Source organism: Homo sapiens, chromosome 14, assembly GCF_000001405.40.
Source record: "Homo sapiens chromosome 14, GRCh38.p14 Primary Assembly".
Lineage (NCBI taxonomy): Eukaryota > Metazoa > Chordata > Mammalia > Primates > Hominidae > Homo > Homo sapiens.
Window position 1 is genome coordinate 30463497 of NC_000014.9, and position 25732 is coordinate 30489228.

The window sequence follows — 25732 nt, forward strand, 5'->3', positions numbered from 1 at the left end:
TCTGATTTTCCCCTACCCTTGTCTGACATACACCACAAATGCTCTGATCTTCCTCTAAAATATGTCATAAGGCCAGATGTGGTGGCTCACACCTGTAATTCCAACACTTCAGGAAGTTGAGGCAAGAAAATTGCTTGAGCTTTGGAGATTGGGACCAGCCTGAGCAACATAATGACACCCCATCTCCATTTTTAAAAATCAAAAAATTTAAAAGTGGGTCATAAGACTCTCGTATGCCCTATACACAGAAGAAAGGAATATCACACAGGGAGGGACACAGAGAAGAATTTGAGCAAACAGATTCTTGCTAAGTTCCCCCCAGTTTATTACCATTGGATTATACCCCCTTTGGTCTAATCATATTTCCCCACAACTTCTTTACCAAACTTGGCATAAAAATACACAATTTTCTCTCTTTCTTTGGGCCTCCATTTCTAAAGATTCCATGTCACCTATAACTTATATTAAATAAATTTGTTATGCTTTTCTCTCGTTAATCTATCTTTTGTTATAAGGGTCTCAGTTATGAACCTAGCAATGCGTGAAAAAAAGAAATGTTTCTCCTTTACATTCTCATGGACACATTTTTGTCCCTTTTGCCTTCCCCCTTTTCTATTTTTCTATCCACATCTCTCTTCTTCCTGTGCCTCAGTGTTGTTTCCATTTACTAAGCCACCACTCCTTTTCTTGCTTGGTGTTCATTGATCCTCATCTTGCTGCTAATCACAATTCCTTCCTGGTTTCACCAAACTCCCAGACACTAGCTTTTCAAATCTCTAAAAACATGGAGGTCATTCTCTCTGTCCAAGAGTGGCATGTTGAAACTCCCCAGTGAGTTTTCCTATATTTTTTTAAATATTGTTTTCTGAATTCCCATTTAGTTTTGTAAGGGCTGAAAGGTGTGATATCTTTCCTCACCCGTTATAATCATCACAGCCAACACTCCTATAACAAAAACCAGGATAACAAGAAAAAAACATATTTCTTTAATCAAACTTTTACATGACATAGGAGGCTTCAGAAATGAAAACCTAAAAATCCAGGGAAAATAATTTGTTTTTATACTTAGGTTCAATGAAGAATAGACAGCTGTGTAGAAATGTGATTAGACAAAAGGGTATGATCTAATGGTAACAGACTGAGGGAGGAGATCCAGCAAAGCCTGCTTGTTCAGATTCTTCTTGGCCTCTCTGTGCAACATTCTTCCTCCCAGATTTGGGCCAGGATCCTTATGGAATGAGGGCCTTCAAGAGAGAATGGAAAAGGGAAAGAGTAGCCTTTCTAGGATTGATGGCTTGCTTTGGGGGAGAAGGATTCTAGTTTCTATGACCCACATTAGGGAAATGGAATTCTGGTCTCTATGACTCGCTTCAGGGGAGAAGGAGGGGCAGGAGGCAGGAGGGCAGAAGAAGGGCAAAGAGAGGCTATGCTTCTGGGGCTGTTTCTGAGGCCTTCCAGTCTCCTTTAGCTCAAAGTACTCAGTTCAAAGTATCATTTTCTGATACAGTTTCAACTTAGTATTTGGTTGCCCTAGTGGTCTTCACTTTGTAACAATTTACTTACTCCTTAAGCTTTTATAATCTTTTCTCTGCCTTTCTACTTTGCAGAAATTTCTCTCTTAAAGGTCACCAATTGCTTCCTCATCACAGAATCTAATGACACTGGAGGCCACTCATCTTTTTCTGCAAGATTGGACCCTCTTGGCTCTTTGTTGAACCTTTCTCTACCTTTTTGCACTGAAACACTGTACTCTCCTGACCACTCCTGTTTCCTACTTATCCCACTTTGAGAAGGTAAGAATCTCCACAGTTCTGTTTTTGGCTCAGGCCTTTCAGTCTCACTGTATTTCCATATAGTGGGTGGAAATGAGTGATGATGGCTTGATGGCTCCAAAACTTCCATTTCTGATCCCAACCTCTCATAGATAAGAAGTCCCAAGTGTTTGCTGAGAATCTCCACCTAAGTATCTTTCTTGCATCTCAAATCCAGTAGGCATTACTGCATAAATAAATGCATTATCAATCTACCTCTTCAAGTAACCTTCCACAACTACCTCTATTAACATGACCACCAATCATATAAGTCTGATTCATGTCATCATGAACTCCCAACTTCATTCTCCATATCCTATAAGTTCCTGAGACATGGACTCTTCCACTCTGGTATCTTTCTATCCTATTGCCACCATTCTAGTTCAAGTGTTTCTTTTCTTTGCCTGGACCAGTGGTCAGCAAAATGAACCAACAGCATCAGAATTACCTGGAAACTTGTAAGAAATACAAATCCTCAAACCCCACCTCATACCCACTTAGTCTGAAACTCTGGGGATGAGACCAGCAGTCTGTGTTTTAACTGGACTCCGATAACTCTGATATGCACTAAAATTTGAGAACATAAAGTATTGCAGATGACTTTTATTTGGCCTTCCTGTCTCCAGTCTCTTCTTTCCCATGCCACTCTAAGAATTACCTTTCTAAAGAGTAACTCTGATCATGCCACTTCCTTGATAGAAACATTTGACCCTTTATTGTCAAATAAAAGCCAAACTCCTCATTATGACATCTGAATGTAAAAAACTCAACAAGTTAGAAATAGAAAGGAACTTCCTTAGCAAAAAAAAAAGACATCTATGAGAAACCTACAAACATCACACTTAATGGTAAAAACTGAATGCTTTTCCCCCCAAGATCAGGAAATAGATGAGATAGCTACTCTTCCCACTCCTATGCAACATGATACAGTAGGTTCTAGCCAGTGCAGTCAGGCAAGAAAAAGCAAGTAAATAATATAGATTCGATTTTAAAAAGAAAGAAAAAAACACAGATTGAAAAGAAAGAAGTAAAACTGTTTTTATGCACAAATTATATGATCCTAAAGGATCTTTTTTTTTTTTTTTATTTTACATTCCAAGATACATGTGCAGGTTTGTTACATAGGTAAATGTGTGCCATGGTGGTTTGCTGTACCTCTCAACCCATCACCTAGGTATTAAGCTTGGTAAGCATATTTTTCCTGATGCTCTGCCTCTCCCCGCCCCCCACCCCCAACAGGCCCCAATGTGTGTTGTTCCCCTCCCTGTGTCCATGTGTTCTCATTTGTCAGCCCCCACTTACAAGTGAGAACATGCAGTGTTTGGTTTTCTGTTCCTGCGTTAGTTTGCTGAGGATAATGGCTTCCAGCTCTATCCATGTCCCTGCAAAGGACATGATCTCATTCCTTTTTATGGCTGCATAGTATTCCATGGTGTATATATACCACATTTTCTCTATCCACTTTATCATTGATGAGCATTTGGGTCGATTTCATGTCTTTGAACTTGTGAATAGTGCTGCAATGAACATACACATACATGTATATTTATAACAGAATGATTTATATTCCTTTGAGTTATACCCAGTAATGGGATTGCTGGGTCAAATGGCATTTCTGGTTCTAGCTCTTTGAGGAATCACCACACTGTCTTCCACAATGGTTGAACTAATTTACGTTCCCACCAATAGTGTAAAAGCGTTCCTATTTCTCTACAGCCTCACCAGCATCTGTTGTTTCTTGACTTTTTAATAATTATCATTCTGACTGGTGTGAGATGGTATCTCATTGTGGTTTTGATCCGCATTTCTCTAATGATCAGTTACGCTGAGCTTTTTTCATATGTTTGTTGGCCACATAAATGTCTACTAAAACTAATAAATAAATTTAAAAGGCCACAGGATATGAGATCAATATGCAAAAATCAACTATTTTAGTTCTATGTAATAGCAACAAACACCAAAAGTAAAATTAAGAAATGATTTCATTCCCAATAAAATCAATAAAAATAAAATATTTAGTAATAAGTTTAACAAAAGAAGTGGAAAACTTATACTCTGAAAATTGTAAAACAGACTGAAAGAAATTAAAGATCTAAATAAATAAAGTTACATTCCATGTTCATAAACTGGAAGCTTCAATATTGTTAATATAGTAACATATCCCAAATTGTTCTGTGGATTCAATGCAATCCCAGTCAAGATCCCAGCAGTCATTTTTGTAGAAATTGACAAGCTGATCCTAAAATTCATATAAAAATTCAAAGAACCCAAAGTAGCCAAAATAATTTTTAAAAAGAACAAATTTAGAGAACGTATACTACTCAACTTCAAAACTTAATATAAAACTACAATAATGACAACAGTGTGATAGGTATAAAGGCAAATATATAAATCAGTGGAAAAGAATTCAGAGTCAGAAATAAATCCTGACATTTATGGTCAATTGAGTCGTTATGGGTACTATGATTTTTTTCAAAAAATGTTACTAGGGCAAATAGATGCCACATGCAACAAAACGAATTTAGACCCTTACCTTACACCTTACACAAAAATTTCCTTGAAACACATCAAATACCTAATTGGAAGAGCAAAAGTTATAAAACTTCTAAAAGAAACCATAGGAGAAACTCCTGGATATAAGCAGAAAATTCTTAGATATGACACTAAAAGCATGATCCAGAAAAGAAAAAAAAAAATGACAAATTGGGCTTCAGCAAAATTAAAACATTTTACTTTCAAAAGTTACCAATAAGAAAAATAAAAAGACAAATTACAGACTAGGAGAAAGTATATGCCAATCATGTGCCTGAAAAAAATGGATAATAGGCAAATGACAACATTCTCAATGTTATTAGTCATTAGGGAAATACAAATTAAAATCACAGCAAAATGGCATACCCACACATTAAAATGACCAATCAAAAAGAGTGACAATACTAGATATTGATGATAATATGAAGAAATTGGAACCCTCACACATTGCTGGAAAGAATGTGAAATGTTACAGCCGTTTGAAAAACAGTTTGGCAGTTTTTAAAAAGTTAAACCTAGAGTTACCAGATGACCTAGCAATGCCACTCCTAGGCATATACCCAAAAGAAATGAAAACATACATTGACACAAAACTTGTACAGAAATGTCCATAGCATTATTTATAATAGCCAAAAATTGGAAGCAATACAAATGTCCGTTGACATGAATGGAAAAAACCAACGGGATAAGCATATCCATACAATGAAATGCTATTGCGCAATGAAAAGGAATGAGCTTTTGATACACACTACAACTTGGTTGAACCCCTAAAACAGTATGCTAAGTGAAAGAAGTCAAAAATAAAAAACTGCAAATTGTACAGTTCCATTTATATGAAATTTCCAGGAAAGGCAAATTTATAGAGACTGGGAGCAGATAAATGGCTGCCTGGAGCCGGGTGGGGGGTGGGTACTGACTGCAAATGAGCATAAGAAAACTTCTTGGGGTGAGAAAAATGTTCTAAAATTGAATCACAGTGAAATTTACCCAAAACTCTATAAAGTTGCTAAAAAATCATTGAATTGTACACTTACAATGGGTGAATTTCATGGTATGTAAATTATGTCTCAATGGAGCTATTTTTAAAGAATTATTTTAAAACTCTTAAAAAAACACACATAAAATCACTTACATAAATTATGTACCATAAGTTCTGTTCTATTTGTTCTGCAGCAGTGTAAAAACCACATATTTCGCTAAGGTTGAAAATAAGTATGAAGAGAATTAAGAACATTTTGTTATGTTAACCCATGACGGCACTTTAGTTAATGTCGTTGTTACTCAGTTGCTTTTCTGTTTAATGGCTTATGCCAGCTAGTTTATTCATATCATACCTGTGGTGGTTAATTTTAAGTGTCAACTTGACTGGGCTAACAGATGCCCAGATGGCTGGTAAAACATTATTTCTGGTGAGTCTGTGAAGGTGTTTCCAGAAGAGGTGAGCAATTGAATCAGCAAACTAAACAAAGATTGTCCTCATCAATGTAGGTGAGCATCAGCTAACCCAGGAAGGGCCTGAACAGAACAAAAAGGCAGAGGAAGACTGAATTTGCTCTCTCTTCTTGAGCTGGGACACCCACCTTCTCCTGCCCTCAGACATTGGCGCTCCTGGTTCTCAGGCCTTCAGATGCAGACTGAGACTTACACCATTGATTCTTCTGGTTCTTAGGCCTTTGCGCTGGAGTTACAATGACACCACCAGTTTTCTGGTTCTCCAGCTTCCAGACAACAGATTGTAGACTTAGCCTCCATAATTGTGTGAGCCGGTCCCTCATAGTAAATCTCTTCCTATATATCCATATATGTCTTATTGGTTCTGACTAATACGATACATAAGCTGTATTTCATCACTTGGTAAAAGTTTTCTTACTCTCAATATTTTAGCCATGGTTAGTTATGGTTTCTTTATTACTAACTGTGATTATTTGGAAAGAATATTTAAAAGAAAGTCTTTTTCTCTCTGTGAAAATCTCCCCAGAACAATGTCCCATAACTTCTGTGCATTTCTGTCATGCTATTTGTTCTCTTTCTTCTGCCCTACTACCTCCTCTTCTCTCACCTGGTTCAGAATTTCTGAGACAAATAGAAGAAATCAGTAATATCCTCAAGTTAGGGAAACAACTATGCTTCAGCATGGTTTCTCCCCACTGTGCCATACTGCCTGTATGAAGACCAGAGAACAAATGCAGTAAAATTCTAATAAGACTCAATAAATAAAATCTGAAAATATAATCATGTAAAATGCACATGCATTATTGTGAAATAAATAAATAGACCAGGAGTGGCTACTGCCTACCGAGCCAAACAGAAATTCCTATGAATCTGGCTATGCATTCCAAGCCCACTTGGTTCTAGCAGCATTTTGTCATAAAATTGTTGTGGTTTTCTACTCTACCTTAATTTTAAGTGGAGATAATTTGGAGCCCTGTAGCTAGCTAGAATGACAAAAGAGTGGCAGTGATTCCAGGAACCCCCGATTGGTTGGTATACACTTTATCAACCTGATCTAAAGAGATTATGTAGAAAGAATACTGAGAATGTAGGGGTCTGTTTTTGCCTCCAATTCCCAAGAGCTGCCTGGATATCTCCACCCAATATTGTTCCTTCTCACACCTTACATTCTTCCTCCATGCTCAAAAGACAAGAATTTAGCCCACCCAATTTGTGAATGAGGGGTATAAGGAGAATGGGAGTCAACTGCCTATTGTGTTACATCTGAATGCACATTATCATTGTGAGTGTAATTGTAGAGTTTTACTAGATCTAGCAATCAAAAGAAAATTTTGAATCCAGTACAGAAAAGTTATAAAATATCTAATTCAAAGTTAAACAAAAAGTATTCTTCTAGTGCTGGTCATTGTGGTTGACTTAGCAAGATGATATGTCTAAGTTAATCATGGTAACCCATTTCTCGTTTCAATTACTGGTTTAAAATTGGCACGTGACTCAGTACAGCCATTAAATATGAGAGAAGTCAAGTGGGAGCTTCTGGAAAAGCCCTTTTTCCTTTAAAAATAAAATAGTTTCAAGGAAGAGACAGTAGCTCACATTCCCCTGGATGTTATTGGGTCTGGATAGGAAACTTGGAACTATTGCAGCTATATATACTATATATCTTGTAAATATGAAGCCAATGACAAAGATTCTCTCCTTGACCAAACTTTAGTCAGGCTCCTTTGAACCCTCTACTAGGTACAACCTTGGGCTTCTCTGTCCTTGGAGAGTCCAGTTTTAGTAGGAGTCCTGAGAAGTCAGTTTAGCCAGAATCCTCCCCCAACCCCCAATATCTGATCATCCTCAATATCCAACCAAATTATTCATCACCCAACTTCCCTCAGGTAATATCTGAACACCCTGGCCTGCCTTCAGCAACAATCCTATTAGGCCGGTTTAGCAAAGAATTGGCCTCTTCTCTAAATAATTTTCCACCCGCCCCAGCCCTGTTCCTTAGCTATGAATCCCCCTCTTTCCTTGTTGAATTCAGAATTGAGCCCATTTCTATTCTGAGGTCTCTTTCCCCTATTACAATAATTTCTGAGTGAAATCTGCCTTTACTTCTTTAACTACTTAACTGTCCACCTCTGGTTTTCTTTGACATCAGCCGCTGTAAGAAACCATGTTTGAGGACAGCAAAGCAGGAAGAAAAATGGACCTGGGTCCTCAATGATCTTTGTGAGCTGCTGATCATACAATGAGTCAAAGTTTATTTGTTTGTTTGTTTGGTGGTTTTTGTTTTGTTTTGTTTTGTTTTTATAACTTGCTGCAGAAAGTATCTTAACACAATGCTTTTCTGTGATTGTTGAACCCGGGCATTCCATCCTAGACTAAAAGCATTTTCATAGCTTTGATCACATAGAAGAAATATCATTTCAAAAGAAGATGGTAAAAGGGAAGAGGAATAGTAAGTGGTGGGTTCAGGAATGAAGGATGACTCTTATACTTAATCATATAGTATCCTCTTTTCCCCACATTTTGAGAACCATATCAGTACATCTCTGAAATCAAGAAAAACAAGACAAAGAAATAATATACTTGCCCATAGCCTTAGGGGTCCCAGGTCCTGGGTAAAGGCATATGCAATTTCACATTACCTAGACAACCACACCCAGTGATCTCTGTGGGAAACTAACACTGATCTTGGCCTTGCAGGGTGCCCAAGAAACTCCCCTTCCACCCATTAGAACAGCACAGAGCCTTTGAAGAATATGTTAAATGCCTTGTCTTTGTAGAACATTTTTAACTTGCTACAGTACTTTCAAATCCATTAGCTAATTGCAATCTTCAAAACAGTGTGCTAAGGTAGACATTACCCCCATTTGACAAATGACAAGTGCAGAGTGCATGGAGAAGGTGAAAACATTTGCTTAAAATAACCCAACTAACTACACTATGAATAGTCCATAGCCTAAGATTACTTGCTTAGAAAAGCAAATATACTTGGATCCTGTTATAAATATGCTCTGCTCAAGATTTTCCAAGATCCAGAAGGGCCACAGTGTATCTGAGTATATGGGTATATACTGAATACATGCTTACCTACCTTTAATCTCTGCTGTGGCCAGTTTCTATTTCAGCCTTATAATTTTCTGCATTTCCTTCCTCTATTGCTTTTCATCCACACTTTATTTAGGAAATGTTCAACAGAGAAGCCAGAAAGGTACCTCCTTGGAAAGGTAAGGAGAAGCAATGAACGACAGAGATCAGCTACAACTGGGAAAGGTGCAGCTTTTGCATTGATCAAACCAAAAAAAAGTGGTAAAGACTAATGCAGTTCAATTTTTAAATAGAGTTCAAAATAAAACCAAACCCTTAACATCACACATTTACAAAGGAGTCAGTTGTAAACATACCAAAACAACTAATGACAGAAAAGGGAAATTGGTCTCTGCTTTCTTTCTTTTTTTTTTTTTTCTGAGACGGAGTCTCACACTGTCGCCCAGGCTAGAGTACAGTGGCACAATCTCGGCTCACTGCAAGCTCCGCCTCCTGGGTTCCTGCCATTCTCCTGCCTCAGCCTCCCGTGTAGCTAGGACTACAGGCGCCCACCACCACGCCCAGCTAATTTTTTGTATTTTTAGTAGAGACGGGGTTTCACCATGTTAGCCAGGATGGTCTCGAGCTCCTGACCTCGTGATCTGCCTGCCTCGGCCTCCCAAAGTCCTGGGATTACAGGCATGAGCCACCGCGCCTCTAGAAAGTTTTAAAATAACAATCAAAGGACTAAATAACCAGTTTCAAAATATTTGTTGTTAAATTTAATCCTGTTAAAGATAAGATTCAAACTGTTAATTTCAAGTGCTAGAAAAACAAATCAGAAGTGATGGCCACTACTATAAACTATTCTTTCTTTGATTACCAGTGTAGGAACATATTATTTTACAATACTTTGGTTTTTTATTAGAACTTCACTGCGCCAAAAATAAAAAAATAAAATTTGCACTATAAGTTTTCCCGTTTTGTGTGATATAAGGCACAATCAATCTGTTCATTCTCCAGACTTACTGAAGACACGTATTTCTATATTTAAAATTACCCTAACAAGGTTTTATTACAATGACTCCTATAAGAAATATTCCTTTTCATATTCAATTATATGAAGATTTGTTACCTGGCTTGCCTTGACCTTTTCATTAGATATTATATATATAATTTATTAGAAAGAGAGATTGACCAGGGAATTACCTTCGGAAATGAGGAGGTAGGGAAAGAAGCAGCAAAAATTCTCAGCCAGACTTTGAACAGGAAGCTTTAGTAAGAGACCTAGAGAAGAAAGATTTAAAAAACTAGATGATACACGGAGAGTACAAGTTACTAGAAAATTGACTAAGCAATTTCTGATACAATAGTTTTCTACATTTATAAGCACTCTAAAAGTTTTATTTACATGTATGTACTGTGGGAAATAAAAAAGCAAAATGCATAATCACCGCCATTTAGTAACTTTATAAAGAACTTTCTTGAACATATTTCAGTAGCTTAGAATTTGTCTGTCATAATATTAAATATGGTAGAATAGATGAACTTAAATCTCATAATTGTATAATTTTTATCTTTAAGAAGTATATTTGAAGTTTCTAATGATAAAAAAAAGAATTTGAGGCAAAGAGAGACAATGCACATAACATATAGCCAAAGAAAAAAGAACTCCTTTAAAAACTTACAGTGAATATCTTTTAAAAATAAAAGAAGGTTGACACAGAGATCCAGGAGCCAAGATGGCCGAATAGGAACAGCTCCGGTCTACAGCTCCCAGCGTGAGCCACGCAGAAGACGGGTGATTTCTGCATTTCCATCTGAGGTACCGGGTTCATCTCACTAGGGAGTGCCACACAGTGGGCGCAGGTCAGTGGGTGCGTGCACCGTGCGCGAGCCGAAGCAGGGCGAGGCATTGCCTCACTCCGGAAGCGCAAGGGGTCAGGGAGTTCCCTTTCCTAGTCAAAGAAAGGGGTGACGGACGGCACCTGGAAAATCGGCTCGCTCCCACCCGAATACTGCGCTTTTCCGACGGGCTTAAAAAACGGCGCACCGCGAGATTATATCCCGCACCTGGCTCAGAGGGTCCTACGCCCACGGAATCTCGCTGATTGCTAGCACAGCAGTCTGAGATCAAACTGCAAGGCGGCAGCGAGGCTGGGGGAGGGGCGCCCACCATTGCCCAGGCTTGCTTAGGTAAACAAAGCAGCCAGGAAGCTCGAACTGGGTGGAGCCCACCACAGCTCAAGGAGGCCTGCCTGCCTCTGTAGGCTCCACCTCTGGGGGCAGGGCACAGACAAACAAAAAGACAGCAGTAACCTCTGCCGACTTAAATGTCCCTGTCTGACAGCTTTGAAGAGAGCAGTGGTTCTCCCAGCACACAGCTGGAGATCTGAGAACGGGCAGACTGCCTCCTCAAGTGGGTCCCTGACCCCTGACCACCGAGCAGCCTAACTGGGAGGCACCCCCAAGCAGGGGCACACTGACACCTCACACAGCAGGGTACTCCAACAGACCTGCAGCTGAGGGTCCTGTCTGTTAGAAGGAAAACTAACAAACAGAAAGGACATCCACACCAAAAACCCATCTGTACATCACCATCATCAAAGACCAAAAGTAGATAAAACCACAAAGATGGGGAAAAAACAGAACAGAAAAACTGGAAACTCTAAAAAGCAGAGTGCCTCTCCTCCTCCAAAGGAATGCAGTTCCTCACCAGCAACGGAACAAAGCTGGACGGAGAATGACTTTGACGAGCTGAGAGAAGAAGGCTTCAGACGATCAAATTACTCTGAGCTATGGGAGGACATTCAAACCAAAGGCAAAGAAGTTGAAAACTTTGAAAAAAATTTAGAAGAATGTATAACTAGAATAACCAATACAGAGAAGTGCTTAAAGGAGCTGATGGAGCTGAAGACCAAGGCTCGAGAACTACGTGAAGAATGTAGAAGCCTCAGGAGCCGATGCGATCAACTGGAAGAAAGGGTATCAGCAATGGAAGATGAAATGAAGCAAGAAGGGAAGTTTAGAGAAAAAAGAATAAAAAGAAACGAGCAAAGCCTCCAAGAAATATGGGACTATGTGAAAAGACCAAATCTACATCTGATTGGTGTACCTGAAAGTGATGGGGAGAATGGAACCAAGTTGGAAAACACTCTGCAGGATATTATCCAGGAGAACTTCCCCAATCTAGCAAGGCAGGCCAACGTTCAGATTCAGGAAATACAGAGAACGCCACAAAGATACTCCTCGAGAAGAGCAACTCCAAGACACATAATTGTCAGATTCACCAAAGTTGAAATGAAGGAAAAAATGTTAAGGGCAGCCAGAGAGAAAGGTCGGGTCACCCTCAAAGGGAAGCCCATCAGACTAACAGCGGATCTCTCGGCAGAAACCCTACAAGCCAGAAGAGAGTGGGGGCCAATATTCAACATTCTTTAAGAAAAGAATTTTCAACCCAGAATTTCATATCCAGCCAAACTAAGCTTCATCAGTGAAGGAGAAATAAAATGCTTTACAGACTAGCAAATGCTGAGAGATTTTGTCACCACCAGACCTGCCCTAAAAGAGCTCCTGAAGGAAGCACTAAACATGGAAAGAAACAACCGGTACCAGCCGCTGCAAAATCATGCCAAAATGTAAAGACCATCGAGACTAGGAAGAAACTGCATCAACTAACGAGCAAAATCACCAGCTAACATCATAATGACAGGATCAAATTCACACATAACAATATTAACTTTAAATGTAAATGGACTAAATGCTCCAATTAAAAGACACAGACTGGCAAATTGGATAAAGAGTCAAGACCCATCAGTGTGCTGTATTCAGGAAACCCATCTCACGTGCAAAGACACACATAGGCTCAAAATAAAAGGATGGAGGAAGATCTACCAAGCAAATGGAAAACACAAAAAGGCAGGGGTTGCAATCCTAGTCTCTGATAAAACAGACTTTAAACCAACAAAGATCAAAAGAGACAAAGAAGGCCATTACATAATGGTAAAGGGATCAATTCAACAAGAAGAGCTAACTATCCTAAATATATATGCACCCAATACAGGAGCACCCAGATTCATAAAGCAAGTCCTGAGTGACCTATAAAGAGACTTAGACTCCCACACATTGATAATGGGAGACTTTAACACACCACTGTCAACATTAGACAGATCAACGAGACAGAAAGTCAACAAGGATACCCAGGAATTGAACTCAGCTCTGCACCAAGCAGACCTAATAGACATCTACAGAACTCTTCACCCCAAATCAACAGAATATACATTTTTTTCAGCACCACACCACACCTATTCCAAAATTGACCACATACTTGGAAGTAAAGCTCTCCTCAGCAAATGTAAAAGAACAGAAATTATAACGAACTATCTGTCAGACCACAGTGCAATCAAACTAGAACTCAGGATTAAGAATCTCACTCAAAACCACTCAACTACATGGAAACTGAACAACCTGCTCCTGAATGACTACTGGGTACATAATGAAATGAAGGCAGAAATAAAGATGTTCTTTGAAACCAATGAGAACAAAGACACAACATACCAGAATCTCTGGGAAACATTCAAAGCAGTGTGTAGAGGGAAATTTATAGCACTAAATGCCCACAAGAGAAAGCAGGAAAGATCCAAAATTGACACCCTAACATCACAATTAAAAGAACTAGAAAAGCAAGAGCAAACACATTCAAAAGCTGGCAGAAGGCAAGAAATAACTAAAATCAGAGCAGAACTGAAGGAAATAGAGACACAAAAAAACCCTTCAAAAAATTAATGAATCCAGGAGCTGGTTTTTTGAAAGGATCAACAAAATTGATAGACCGCTAGCAAGACTAATAAAGAAAAAAAGAGAGAAGAATCAAATAGATGCAATAAAAAATGATAAAGGGGATATCACTACCGATCCCACAGAAATACAAACTACCATCAGAGAATACTATAAACACCTCTACGCAAATAAACTAGAAAATTTAGAAGAAATGGATAAATTCCTCGACACATACACTCTCCCAAGACTAAACCAGGAAGAAGTTGAATCTCTGAATAGACCAATAACAGGATCTGAAATTGTGGCAATAATCAATAGCTTACCAACCAAAAAGAGTCCAGGACCAGATGGATTCACAGCCGAATTCTACCAGAGGTACAAGGAGGAACTGGTACCATTCCTTCTGAAACTATTCCAATCAATAGAAAAAGAGGGAATCCTCCCTAACTCATTTTATGAGGCCAGCATCATCCTGATACCAAAGCCAGGCAGAGACACAACCAAAAAAGAGAATTTTAGACCAATATCCTTGATGAACATTGATGCAAAAATCCTCAATAAAATACTGGCAAAACGAATCCAGCAGCACATCAAAAAGCTTATCCACCATGATCAAGTGGGCTTCATCCCTGGGATGCAAGGCTGGTTCAATATATGCAAATCAATAAATGTAATCCAGCATATAAACAGAGCCAAAGACAAAAACCACATGATTATCTCAATAGATGCAGAAAAGGCCTTTGACAAAATTCAACAACCCTTCATGCTAAAAACTCTCAATAAATTAGGTATTGATGGGACGTATTTCAAAATAATAAGAGCTATCTATGACAACCCCACAGCCAATATCATACTGAATGGACAAAAACTGGAAGCATTCCCTTTGAAAACTGGCACAAGACAGGGATGTCCTCTCTCACCACTCCTATTCAACACAGTGTTGGAAGTTCTGGCCAGGGCAATCAGGCAGGAGAAGGAAATAAAGGGTATTCAATTAGGAAAAGAGGAAGTCAAATTGTCCCTCTTTGCAGATGACATGATTGTATATCTAGAAAACCCCATCATCTCAGCCCAAAATCTCCTCAAGCTGATAAGCAACTTCAGCAAAGTCTCAGGATACAAAATCAATGTACAAAAATCACAAGCATTCTTATACACCAACAACAGACAAACAGAGAGCCAAATCATGAGTGAACTCCCATTCACAATTGCTTCAAAGAGAATAAAATACCTAGGAATCCAACTTACAAGGGATGTGAAGGACCTCTTCAAGGAGAACTACAAACCACTGCTCAAGGAAATAAAAGAGGATACAAACAAATGGAAGAACATTCCATGCTCATGGGTAGGAAGAATCAATATCGTGAAAATGGTCATACTGCCCAAGGTAATTTATAGGTTCAATGCCATCCCCATCAAGCTACCAATGACTTTCTTCACAGAATTGGAAAAAACTACTTTAAAGTTCATATGGAACCAAAAAAGAGCCTGCATCGCCAAGTCAATCCTAAGCCAAAAGAACAAAGCTGGAGGCATCACACTACCTGACTTCAAACTATACGACAAGGCTACAGTAACCAAAACAGCACGGTACTGGTACCAAAACAGAGATATAGATCAATGGAACAGAACAGAGCCCTCAGAAATAACGCCACATATCTACAACTATCTGATCTTTGACAAACCTGAGAAAAACAAGCAATGGGGAAAGGATTCCCTATTTAATAAATGGTGCTGGGAAAACTGGCTGGCCATATGTAGAAAGCTGAAACTGGATCCCTTCCTTACACCTTATACAAAAATCAATTCAAGATGGATTAAAGACTTAAATGTTAGACCTAAAACCATAAAAACCCTAGAAGAAAACCTAGGCATTACCATTCAGGACATAGGCATGGGCAAGGACTTCATGTCTAAAACACCAAAAGCAATGGCAACAAAAGCCAAAATTGACAAATGGGATCTAATTAAACTAAAGAGCTTCTGCACAGCAAAAGAAACTACCATCAGAGTGAACAGGTAACCTACAAAATGGGAGAAAATTTTCGCAACCTACTCATCTGACAAAGGGCTAATATCCAGAATCTACAATGAACTCCAACAAATTTACAAGAAAAAAACAAACAGCCCATCAAAAAGTGAGCGAAGGACATGAACAGACACTTCTCAAAAGAAGACATTTATGCAGCCAAAAAACACATGAAAAAATGTTCATCATCACTGGCCATCAGAGAAATGCAAATCAAAACCACAATGAGATATCATCTCACACCAGTTAGAATGGCAATCATTAAAAAGTCAGGAAACAACAGGTGCTGGAGAGGATGTGGAGAAATAGGGACACTTTTACACTGTTGGTGGGACTGTAAACTAGTTCAACCAGTGTGGAAGTCAGTGTGGTGATTCCTCAGGGATCTAGAACTAGAAATACCATTTGACCCAGCCATCCCTTTACTGGGTATATACCCAAAGGACTATAAATCATGCTACTATAAAGACACATGTACACGTATGTTTATTGCGGCATTATTCACAATAGCAAAGACTTGGAACCAACCCAAATGTCCAGCAATGATAGACTGGATTAAGAAAATGTGGCACATATACACCATGGAATACTATGCAGCCATAAAAAATGATGAGTTCATGTCCTTTGTAGGGACATGGATGAAATTGGAAATCATCATTCTCAGTAAACTATCGCAAGAACAAAAAACCAAACACTGCATATTCTCACTCATAGGTGGGAATTGAACAATGAGATCACCTGGACACAGGAAGGGGAACATCACACTCTGGGGACTGTTGTGGGGTGGGGGGAGGGGGGAGGGATAGCATTGGGAGATATACCTAATGCTAGATGATGAGTTAGTGGGTGCAGCGCACCAGCATGGCACATGTATACATACGTAACTAACCTGCACAATGTGCACATGTACCCTAAAACTTAAAGTATAATAATAAAAATAAATAAATAAAAAATAAATAAAAAAAAGAAGTCAACACAGAGAATTTAAAAAAAAAATAAAAGAAGGTTGTATATTCATGAAAAAAGAATAGAAGAATAGAAGGGTATGAAAAGAGGGAAGTCAGAGAATATTCAGAGAAGGATTTCTTGGGAATTAAGCCAAATTTTTAATTTTTAATTGTAGGGTAGGAAAATCAGTTTGGGTAAATCTTCAATAAAGTATTACAGGGGGAACAAAGAAAACCAAGGGGAGGAAATTCTCAAAAATATAACACAAGACATGTTCTCAGAACTGAAAAACATAAATATCTAGAGAAGAGGACCCCCATAATGAATGAAGAAGAGCCACACTAAGGTATCGTCATGAAATTGCAGAACACCAGGGTAAAGAGAATGCTCTTCAGAAGCATATGAATACTAGAAAATAGTGCAGCAAGGCCTTCAAAATTCTGAGGGAAAATTATTTTTAACTTATAATTGTATACTTATTCAAACTATCAGCCAAATGTAAGATTAAATCCATTCAAATATGCAAGAATTTACAAATATTTTGGTCTCTCATATGCTGTTTTCTAGGAAGCTACTGGAGGATGTACTTCAGCAACATGAGGGAGAAAGAGCAAGACATGGATTTCAAAAAGCAGGAACTTCAACACATGAGGACAATGAAGGGAAATCCAGATTGACAGCTATGTAGCAGCCGGGAAAGCAACTAGTCCAACTGGAAGCAAGAGGAAGAACAATGGCTTCAGGAGGAATGTCTCAGGGTAAGAGTTTAAAATGTCGTAGTGCTTAAAATTGTGTTTGACTATTTAAAAAAAAAAATGATACTATATGACCAAAAAATATAGTGAAAAGTACATAGAAATTAGAAAATTTTAAAAGAGACAAGTATTAACTCCAGGGAAAACAAAAAGTTGCATGAGAAAGGAATCTACTTGCTTCTTACAGTCAAAAATATTTTACAAGATCATGATTTCACAAATTTGATTATTGAATTAAACACTAATATATATATATTTTTTCAGAATATGAGAGAGAAGAGGGCAGAGGAGAGCATAAAATATTTAAAACCCCTATTACTGAAATCACTGTTGCATAATTATAACTGAGAAAATTATTACAGTGAAAGAGACCTAACCTAACCAACTTTATCTTGCTTCTAACCTCTAAGCTGCCCTTGTTCATTCCTGGGCATAGGCCGAACTAATTTGGGGAGGAACTTAGCTTATAGTTTAACTTTGAAACAAAAACGATTAACAACCCTTTCCCAAAACAAACTCCCTTCCTACCTGGGGACTAGACTGTCTTTGCAGAACTAACAAATGAGCCACAAGATTAGAAATTATGGTTTAGAAGTCATGCAGCTGAAGGCTGCAAGACTCTGACATCCCAAAATGTTCCTGGGGGATAACATCACTATTGTAAAACCTAAGAACAGTGCTTGAGATATTTTGCAGCCCCTGCACTTGATGGATCAGCTGGCACCACCCAGATCAATAAACTGGCTCATCTGGTCTTATGGTCCCCACCCAGGAACCGGCTCAATACGAGAGGACAGCTTTGACTCCCTGTGATTTCATCTCTGATCAAACCAAGCACCACTCCCAACTCACTGGCCCCTACCCACAAAATTATCCTCAAAAACCCCCATCCCGAGTTTTCAGGAAGACTGATTTGAGTAATAATAAAACTCCAGTCTCCCATACTGCCAGCTTGCGTAAATTAAACTCTTTCTGTATTGCAATTCCCCTGTCAGTCTAGGCGGCAGGCAAGGAAAACCCATTGTGTGGTTACATTACCATTATGATAAAATGGTAAATGTCAAAATTTGATAAATTAAGGTTGGCAGGAGGTGAGAAAGGGTCAGAAACTGATCATTTTATTATAAAACTTTGAGTTCACTTTGGGGGCATTGATGGGTTAATGTATCACCTGGATAAAAATATAACTTAATTTTCTAAAAAGTGACAAAACTGTGAAAATACTACAGTGTGGTGATACAATGGGAGGCAAGAAATGTAGCTTCTCATTCCAGTCCTTCTAACTCCAAAAGATTGTGGCCGTGTCTCTCTACTTCCATGTCTTTATATGAGGTCATGGCTCTAAAAACTTCTCTCAACTTTACACTTTCAAGCTCAAATCTACCCATCTTCTGTGTGGCTATTTCTTGAGATCTCCCTTAACAATGATCCATTAACTAATCATAAAAATACTAAATGAACAGCATCCTCTCCAGGATCTTAAATAGCTAGAAATAAACACATTCTTCTCTGACCCAGAGACATTACATGCAAGAAATAAAGCATTACCAGGTAGTGAAAGGAATGCAGGGCTCTGACAAGATCTTAATTGACTCACTAAGTTATGGAGATTTTAGGCAACAATTTACTCTGTTCTTAAATTTTAAAAGTAGTTGCCATAGCAACTCCTAGACACAGCATATGGTATGTCTGGTACCTCCAAGATAACAGAGCAGATTCTTGATGAATTTCCCTTACAATATGTTGTGAACTTTTGTACTTTTTAGTGTTTCAGTGGGCAATGTTATATGGTGCTAGTATTCACTGATATTATCTATATATTTTAACGCTTATTTTGAAGGATTTACACTTGCAACACACAAAACTTAAATGCTTCTCACATCTCTTAATTTTTTTCTTCATAAAATATTACTACATACTAGTAGAAAAATTAGCAAATGAACAGTAATCTTTAAAGAATAAATATAAATAAGGATGAAATCATATGGAAAATGTCTAGCTCATTTATAGGGAAAGAAAGAAAAATTAAAACTAGATACTATTTCTCCTCTAATCAAACTCCTCTAATAAAATGTTGAAGAGTGGGAGGAATTTAAATTGGTACCGCCATTCCAGTAGTTAATTTGGGACTATAAGTTCAAAGCCTTTAAGACGTCTTGCCATTTGACCTAGTAATTTTGTTACTACAGGTTTTTATCCTAAAGGCATTTATAAAAAAAAAAACAAGGATTTATATGCAAATTTTTATGAAGAATTGTATATAATAGTTAAAAACTACAAATAATCTTAATCTACAGTAAGAGGAAATTTAAAATTAAAAGTTACATAAGCAGTCTCCTCTTATTGGGCATTCAGATTTGATGCAGTTTTTCTATTACAAATTTTACTACTATAAATTAGTATACATTTTATTACAAATTATAGCATTATTATAATTACAGCATATATGCATGTGCTATATGTATGTACTATATATACATATATTAAATTTAAAAACACATTTTTAAAGAATGTTGACAAAATAAACAATTATACTATATTTATAATATACTGCATTTATGCAATCATGGAAAAAGCATGGAAAGGTATATCTCCCCATGAAAAATAAAGTGGCTGTGGTGAACACCAGAAACTGACCTTCGACGAGTCAGGCCCTTGTATAATCCCCTACCCTTGAGTGAAGACAGAACTGATGACTTGCTTCTAACCAATAGAATATGGCAAGGTGATGGATGCAGACTGGAGAGAGAGATTATTATACTGGCTTGAAAATTCAAGCTGTCATGTGGCAAGGAACTGTGGCCTTCCCTGCCAGTGGTCAGTAAGAAAACAGAGCCCTCAGTCACACAGCTGCAGAGAAGTGAATTCTGCCAACAACCTGAATGAGTTTGGAAGCATATTTTTTCCTAGACAAGCCTCCAGATAATAACACAACACAGTCAACACGTTGACTGCAGCCTGGTGCGATCTAGAAGCACAGAATTATTCAGTTATAGTGTCCCAGGAATTCTGACCTGCAGAAACTGTGAAATAATCAACGTGTGCTGTTGTTTTAAGCTGCTAAGTTTGTGTTGATTTATCACACAGCCTAGAAAATGAATACAGTGACTGTCTCTAGAAAGTAGTAATTTGTACAAATTTTCCTTTCTTATTTGTACTTTTCTAAATTTTCTAAAATGTTATAATAAGAATTTCTTTGCTTTTAAAATCAAAAGATGTTATTTTCAACAAATCATCTGGAAGCAAAAAATAAGTATGCTCTGCAATTTTTTAACTGATTTTGAATGTGGCAAAAGAATATTTTTTAAAAGTGTACAATGAAAATATAGCACTAAGATTACCCCAGATTTCTATTTTTTTAAATGATCTTAACAGAAGATTTTATTTAAATCATGTTAACATAGACTGTTTCTGAAATTTTAAGCTTTCTATATTTAATAATGCCTGCTGGGAGGAAAAAAAAAGAAATCATACTTGTAAATTTTTCTTTCCAATTTTGACCATGACTTAAAATGGAAAAAGTTATGTTGATTGTGGCTAAATGTTCTCGTTTTTAGAGGCCATTATGCACTTTAAATTCTCTGTTGGCATTTTAATTTCATTTTACAAAATAAATCCCAACTGACAACAGAATAAAGCAAATTCTAAGTCAACTAAGCGAAAAAGTGTCACCGCAAACAGAAAGAACTTTGCAAACTGATGCAACATTTCATATGGCTCCTGAACCTAAATTTCCAAAGTTTCAACAGGAAATAAAATGTGTGTATGTTGGGGGGAAGTATTGACAACTGAAACCATCTCCACAACTTACTGTCTACAACATGATGTTACTATTCAACTGTCTGCATTAACATAAATTTACTATTGTAGGAAGTTCTTGCCAAGAAAGATTAAAATTGCAATAACCATTTCTTGTTTCAGGAACTTCCCAAAATTTCATTTATCTGACCACTAGACTACTCAACTTACCGTTATTAGAGTAAATACCCATTTCTCAAGATAATCGATAGCTTAAGCTCCTCAAATGACAGTTTACTCTTTAAGATTTGATTTGAAACCCTCACATTCGAAACTATCATATCATGAATCTGCCTAATCTTAAGCATTATAAGATGAATTTTAACTCAAATTCTCAAAACTTCATAAATATGCTACTGTTACTCTTCCTTCTCAGAGATGTCACTAAGATTGTCAAGGTAGTGATCTCTCATACTGCGGTAAACAATAAGCTTGGCTTTGTTTTATCAGCAGGGTATTTTGATGGTATTTTCAGGAAGCTAGCATTCAGCAGTCTTGGAGTTTCCCCCAGTGTATGACCAAGACCTGCTCCCTGCAGTGGCTCTCCACAAAGAACAGAGTGTTCCTCAAAGGCCACTTGAAACTCTTCCTCAGATATCTCCATGACAATAGTAGTGAGGTAAGTCTACTTTAGGTTTGAGCTTCAATTCATTTTATTTTATTTTTTAACCTCCCCACATGATGAGTTTATTTTGACTCCTAAAATACAAAATTCTTTTTTAGGAATTATTTTATTATCTGATAAGATTTACAAAACTTTTATCCTTAGTGAAAACCTGACAATTACTAACAATATTACTATTTAATTCTATCTGCCCTTATTTTTTATCCTTGTTGTGCATCTGTGAGAGGAAGTTCATTGGGAAGAGAACTTCCCAATGATAGGCCGGTGATAAGACCATTGAGCCATTCTGGAAATCGAGATTTTCAAAAGGTTTCTCCTCAGACTGGTGTCTTTTGGGCAAACTCTGTCCTGGGTCAATTATCAAAACATCATGAGACCTTTCCTCTGTCCTGAGTTGTCCCTGAGATTCTGGCTCTGAGAGACATTTCCTCTGTAAATCTTTTCATCCACTGGGAACTACAAATAAGTTGAGTTTGCAGCTGGAGATGGCACAACCATTAGGCTAGAGATCCAATTCACAAAGTGCATGAGCAGACTGTTCCCAGACCCCCATAGCTTAGTCTCTGTCTAAATCTATGTCCCTACCTACCCTGAGCTGGACTCCTCCTTCTCATGTGTATTTATGCCACATCTCAAATTCTTCTGCTTATCTTTCCAAGTAACATAATTTCACAATATAGAATTTATAGTAGCCATGTTGGTGAGCTTAGATATAAACAAAATTATTCATTTGAAGGGTATCATAGAACAAAAAAAAAAAAACAGTACCAGTGGTCTGCATGGTTTTATTGACATGAGGAAGTATGCCAAAGAAATTCAGATGGCAAAATTGCTTTATTAGAGATTCTTTGGCCAAGAGAAAATAAAAACTTGAAAAAATTAAAACTAGCTCTCTTCAAGATACCCCAAATCTTGATTTGAAGTGAATAACCTTTACTATTCTTATCCATCTTATGCTTCTACATTTCCTTCTGTTCCTATAACTCCTCCTGATCTGCCTCCCTTGCTTTCTAGCCACCCAGTAGCACCCAAAGCTAAATTAACTCTTAAAATTAAACATCCTGCAGAACAGAAAAACCCCTAATGGTTGAATATAAGTTCTGGTATCATTTAAGTGTAGCATCACTGTTAAAGAATTCCCAGAGTCTAGATAAGATAGGGAGTGATATGGTTTGGCTCTGTGTCCCCACCCAGATCTCTTCTCGAATTGTAATCCCCAGGTGTGGAGGGAGGGACAAGGTGGGAGGCAATTGGATCATTGGGATGGTTTCCTCCATGCTGTTCTTGGGTTAGTGAGTGAGTTCTCATGAGAGCTGATGGTTTTAAAAGTGTTTGGTAGTTCCCACTTTGCTCTTCTCTTTTGCCTGCCACCACGTAAGATGTACCTTGCTTCCCTTTTGCCTTCTGCCATGATCGTATGTTTCCTGAGGCCTCCCCAGCCATGCAGAACTGTGAGTCAATTAAACCTCTTTTGTTTATAAATTACCCTGTCTCAGGCAGTATCTTTACAGCAGTGTGAAAATGAACTAATACAGATAGAAATTTATAGAAGAATTTAGTATGATTTTAGGAACATAAACTCCAGAGCTCCCAAATCTATAGCAGTTGGTTCACATTTTATGAGAACCTTATATGCAAAAAAACTTATGCAAACAATAAAATGGGAAGACCCTAAGAGTAACTTAAGGACCCTAAATTTCATAGGTAACCCAGTTGTTGATAAAAGCAGTAGATGTTGGAGAAAGTTTTTTTGGAGACTCACCCAAAAGCATTTCGTGTGAAAATACATTTGACTCAAGCCTCCAGTTCCTGAAAGGGTACTGTGCAAAAGTATCCAGCAACTGTGCTATTCAGCAACTTTGGTATACCCTTGTGTAGCAGCAATGAATAAATGGAATTTGAAATAAAAACACAATACTATTTACATTAACATTCCCCCAAAATGAAACAATTAGGTATAAACCTAAAAAAAATGTACAGATCTATATGAGGAAAACTATAAAACTCTGATGAACAAAATCAAAGAACTAAATAAATTGAGAGATAGTCCATGTTCATGGGTAGGAAAACTCAATATTGTCAAGATGTTAGTTCTTCCCAACTTGATCTATAGATTCAAGGCAATCCCAATCAAAATCCCAGCAATTTACGTTGTGGATATAGACACACAGTGATATATAATAGAGAGCCCAGAAATAGACCCACATAAATATAGTCTACTGAGTTTTGACAAAGGAGCAGTAGCAACAAAATAGAGAAAAGACAATTTTCTCAACAAATGATGCTGAAAAAACTGGACAGCCACATGCAAAAAAAATGAATGTTTAGAACAGCTAGATGACCTTGGGTATAGTGATGACTTTTTAGATACAACACCAAAGGCAAGATTCATGAAAGAAAGCATTGATACGTTAATTCATTAAAATTAAAAACTTCTATTCTGCAAAAGACAAGGTCAAGAGAGTGAAAAGACAAGCCACAAGCTAGGAGAAAATATTTGCAAGAGACACATATGATAAAGAATTGTTATCTAAAATGTAAAAAATAACTCTTAAAACTCAACAATAAGAAAATAAATGACCCAATTTTAAAATCAACCAAATACCCAAACAGACATATCACCAAAAAAGATGTATAGGTATCAAGCCAGACACAGTGGCTCACGCCTGTAATCCTAACACTTTGGGAGGCTGAGGGAGGCAGATCACGACATCAAGAGATCGAGACCATCCTGGCCAACATGGTGAAACCCCGTTTCTACTAAAAACACAAAAAAATTAGCTGGGCATTGTGGTGCGTGCCTGTAATCCCAGCTACTCGGGAGGCTGAGGCAGGAGAACAGCTTGAACCAGGGAGTCGGAGGTTGCAGTGAGCTGATATCGCACCACTGCACTCCAGCCTGGGAGACAGAGTGAGACTCCATCTCAAAAAAAAAAAAAAAAGGAAAAAAAAAAGACGTATAGATGTCAAATAAGCATATGAAAAGAGGCTCCACATCATATTTCATTAGGGAAGTGCAAATTAAAGCAACAATGAGATACCACTACACACCTATTAGAATGGCCAATATCTAGGAAACTGACACCACCAAATGCTAGTGGGGATATGGAGCAACAGGAATGCTCATCCATTGCCGGTAGGAATGCAAAATGGTACAGCCTACTTTGGAAGACAGTTTGGCAGTTTCTTATAAAACTAAACATACTCTTACCATACCATGCAGCAATTGCACTCCTTGATATCTGCCCAGAGGAGTTGAAAACTTATGTTCATACAAAACTTACACATGGATCTTTATGGCAGATATATTCATAACTGTCAAAACTTGGAAGCAACCAAGATGTCTTTCAAGTAGATAAATGGGTAAACAAACTGTGGTACATTCAGAAGATAAAATACTATTCAACAATAAAAATAAATGAGGTATCAAACTACAAAAGATATGCAGGAAGCTTCTTACAAAAGACATGCATATTACTAAGTGAAAGAGGTCAATCTGAAAAGACTACATACTGCATGATTCCAATTATACGACATTCTGGAAAAGGCAAAACTATGGCAACAGTAAAACGATCAGTTGCTGCCAGGGCTGGGGCGAAGGGATGAGTAGGTGAAGCACAGAGTCTTTTTAGGGCAGTGAAAATAGTCTGTATGATACTTTAATGATGACTATATGTCACTATACATTTGTCCAAACCCATAGAATGTGAACTCTAAGGTAAAATATGGACTTCGAATGATTATGATGTGACAATGTAGGTTCATCAATTGCAACAAATGTACTCTTTGGTGATGGACGTTGATAATGGGGGAGGCTATGCATATGTGCAGGCAGGAGTATATGGAAAATTGCTGTACTTCCTCTCAATTTTACTGTGAACCTAAAACTGCTCTTTAAAAATAAAATTTAAAAATAAATATGTTGGACTCTAATTCAACCCTGTAAACAAAAAAAACGATGAATCCATTGAAGAGTTCAAAG

General features: G+C 37.6%; 2 long non-coding RNA genes across 5 annotated transcripts in view, besides 4 other annotated features; both read right to left on the reverse strand.

Moving 5' to 3' along the window:
* Positions 1–11041, reverse strand: part of LOC112267868 (uncharacterized) — a 96358-nt gene extending 85317 nt beyond the window's left edge. The window contains exons 1-4 of one of the 4 annotated variants that reach the window (XR_007064107.1): positions 10505–11000; positions 10026–10103; positions 8884–9007; positions 5294–5858 (exon numbers count right to left, since the gene is read on the reverse strand). This is a non-coding gene — a long non-coding RNA (uncharacterized LOC112267868). Of the gene's footprint in view, positions 1–5293; positions 5859–8883; positions 9008–10025; positions 10104–10504 lie in introns of those variants that run through there. The other 3 variants (XR_007064106.1, XR_943707.2, XR_007064108.1) reach the window with 3 other exon arrangements.
* Positions 1–25732, reverse strand: part of G2E3-AS1 (G2E3 antisense RNA 1) — a 139366-nt gene that overhangs the window by 25505 nt on the left and 88129 nt on the right. The gene's annotated exons all lie outside the window — the stretch shown is intronic.
* Positions 10118–11317: an enhancer, noted in NCBI's record as "MED14-independent group 3 enhancer chr14:30942820-30944019 (GRCh37/hg19 assembly coordinates)". NCBI's record gives its function as "activates an origin of replication core promoter dependent on BRD2, BRD4, P300/CBP and CDK7 cofactors, and independent of MED14, by STARR-seq in HCT116 cells {active_cell/tissue: HCT116}" and the evidence as "EXISTENCE:reporter gene assay evidence [ECO:0000049][PMID:35650434]".
* Positions 10118–11353: a biological region, named in NCBI's record as "MED14-independent group 3 enhancer GRCh37_chr14:30942820-30944019".
* Positions 10263–10808: an enhancer, noted in NCBI's record as "NANOG-H3K27ac-H3K4me1 hESC enhancer chr14:30942965-30943510 (GRCh37/hg19 assembly coordinates)". NCBI's record gives its function as "activates a minimal SCP1, AML or CMV promoter by ChIP-STARR-seq in naive and primed H9 embryonic stem cells {active_cell/tissue: H9 hESC(naive and primed)}" and the evidence as "EXISTENCE:reporter gene assay evidence [ECO:0000049][PMID:30033119]".
* Positions 10809–11353: an enhancer, noted in NCBI's record as "NANOG-H3K27ac-H3K4me1 hESC enhancer chr14:30943511-30944055 (GRCh37/hg19 assembly coordinates)". NCBI's record gives its function as "activates a minimal SCP1, AML or CMV promoter by ChIP-STARR-seq in naive and primed H9 embryonic stem cells {active_cell/tissue: H9 hESC(naive and primed)}" and the evidence as "EXISTENCE:reporter gene assay evidence [ECO:0000049][PMID:30033119]".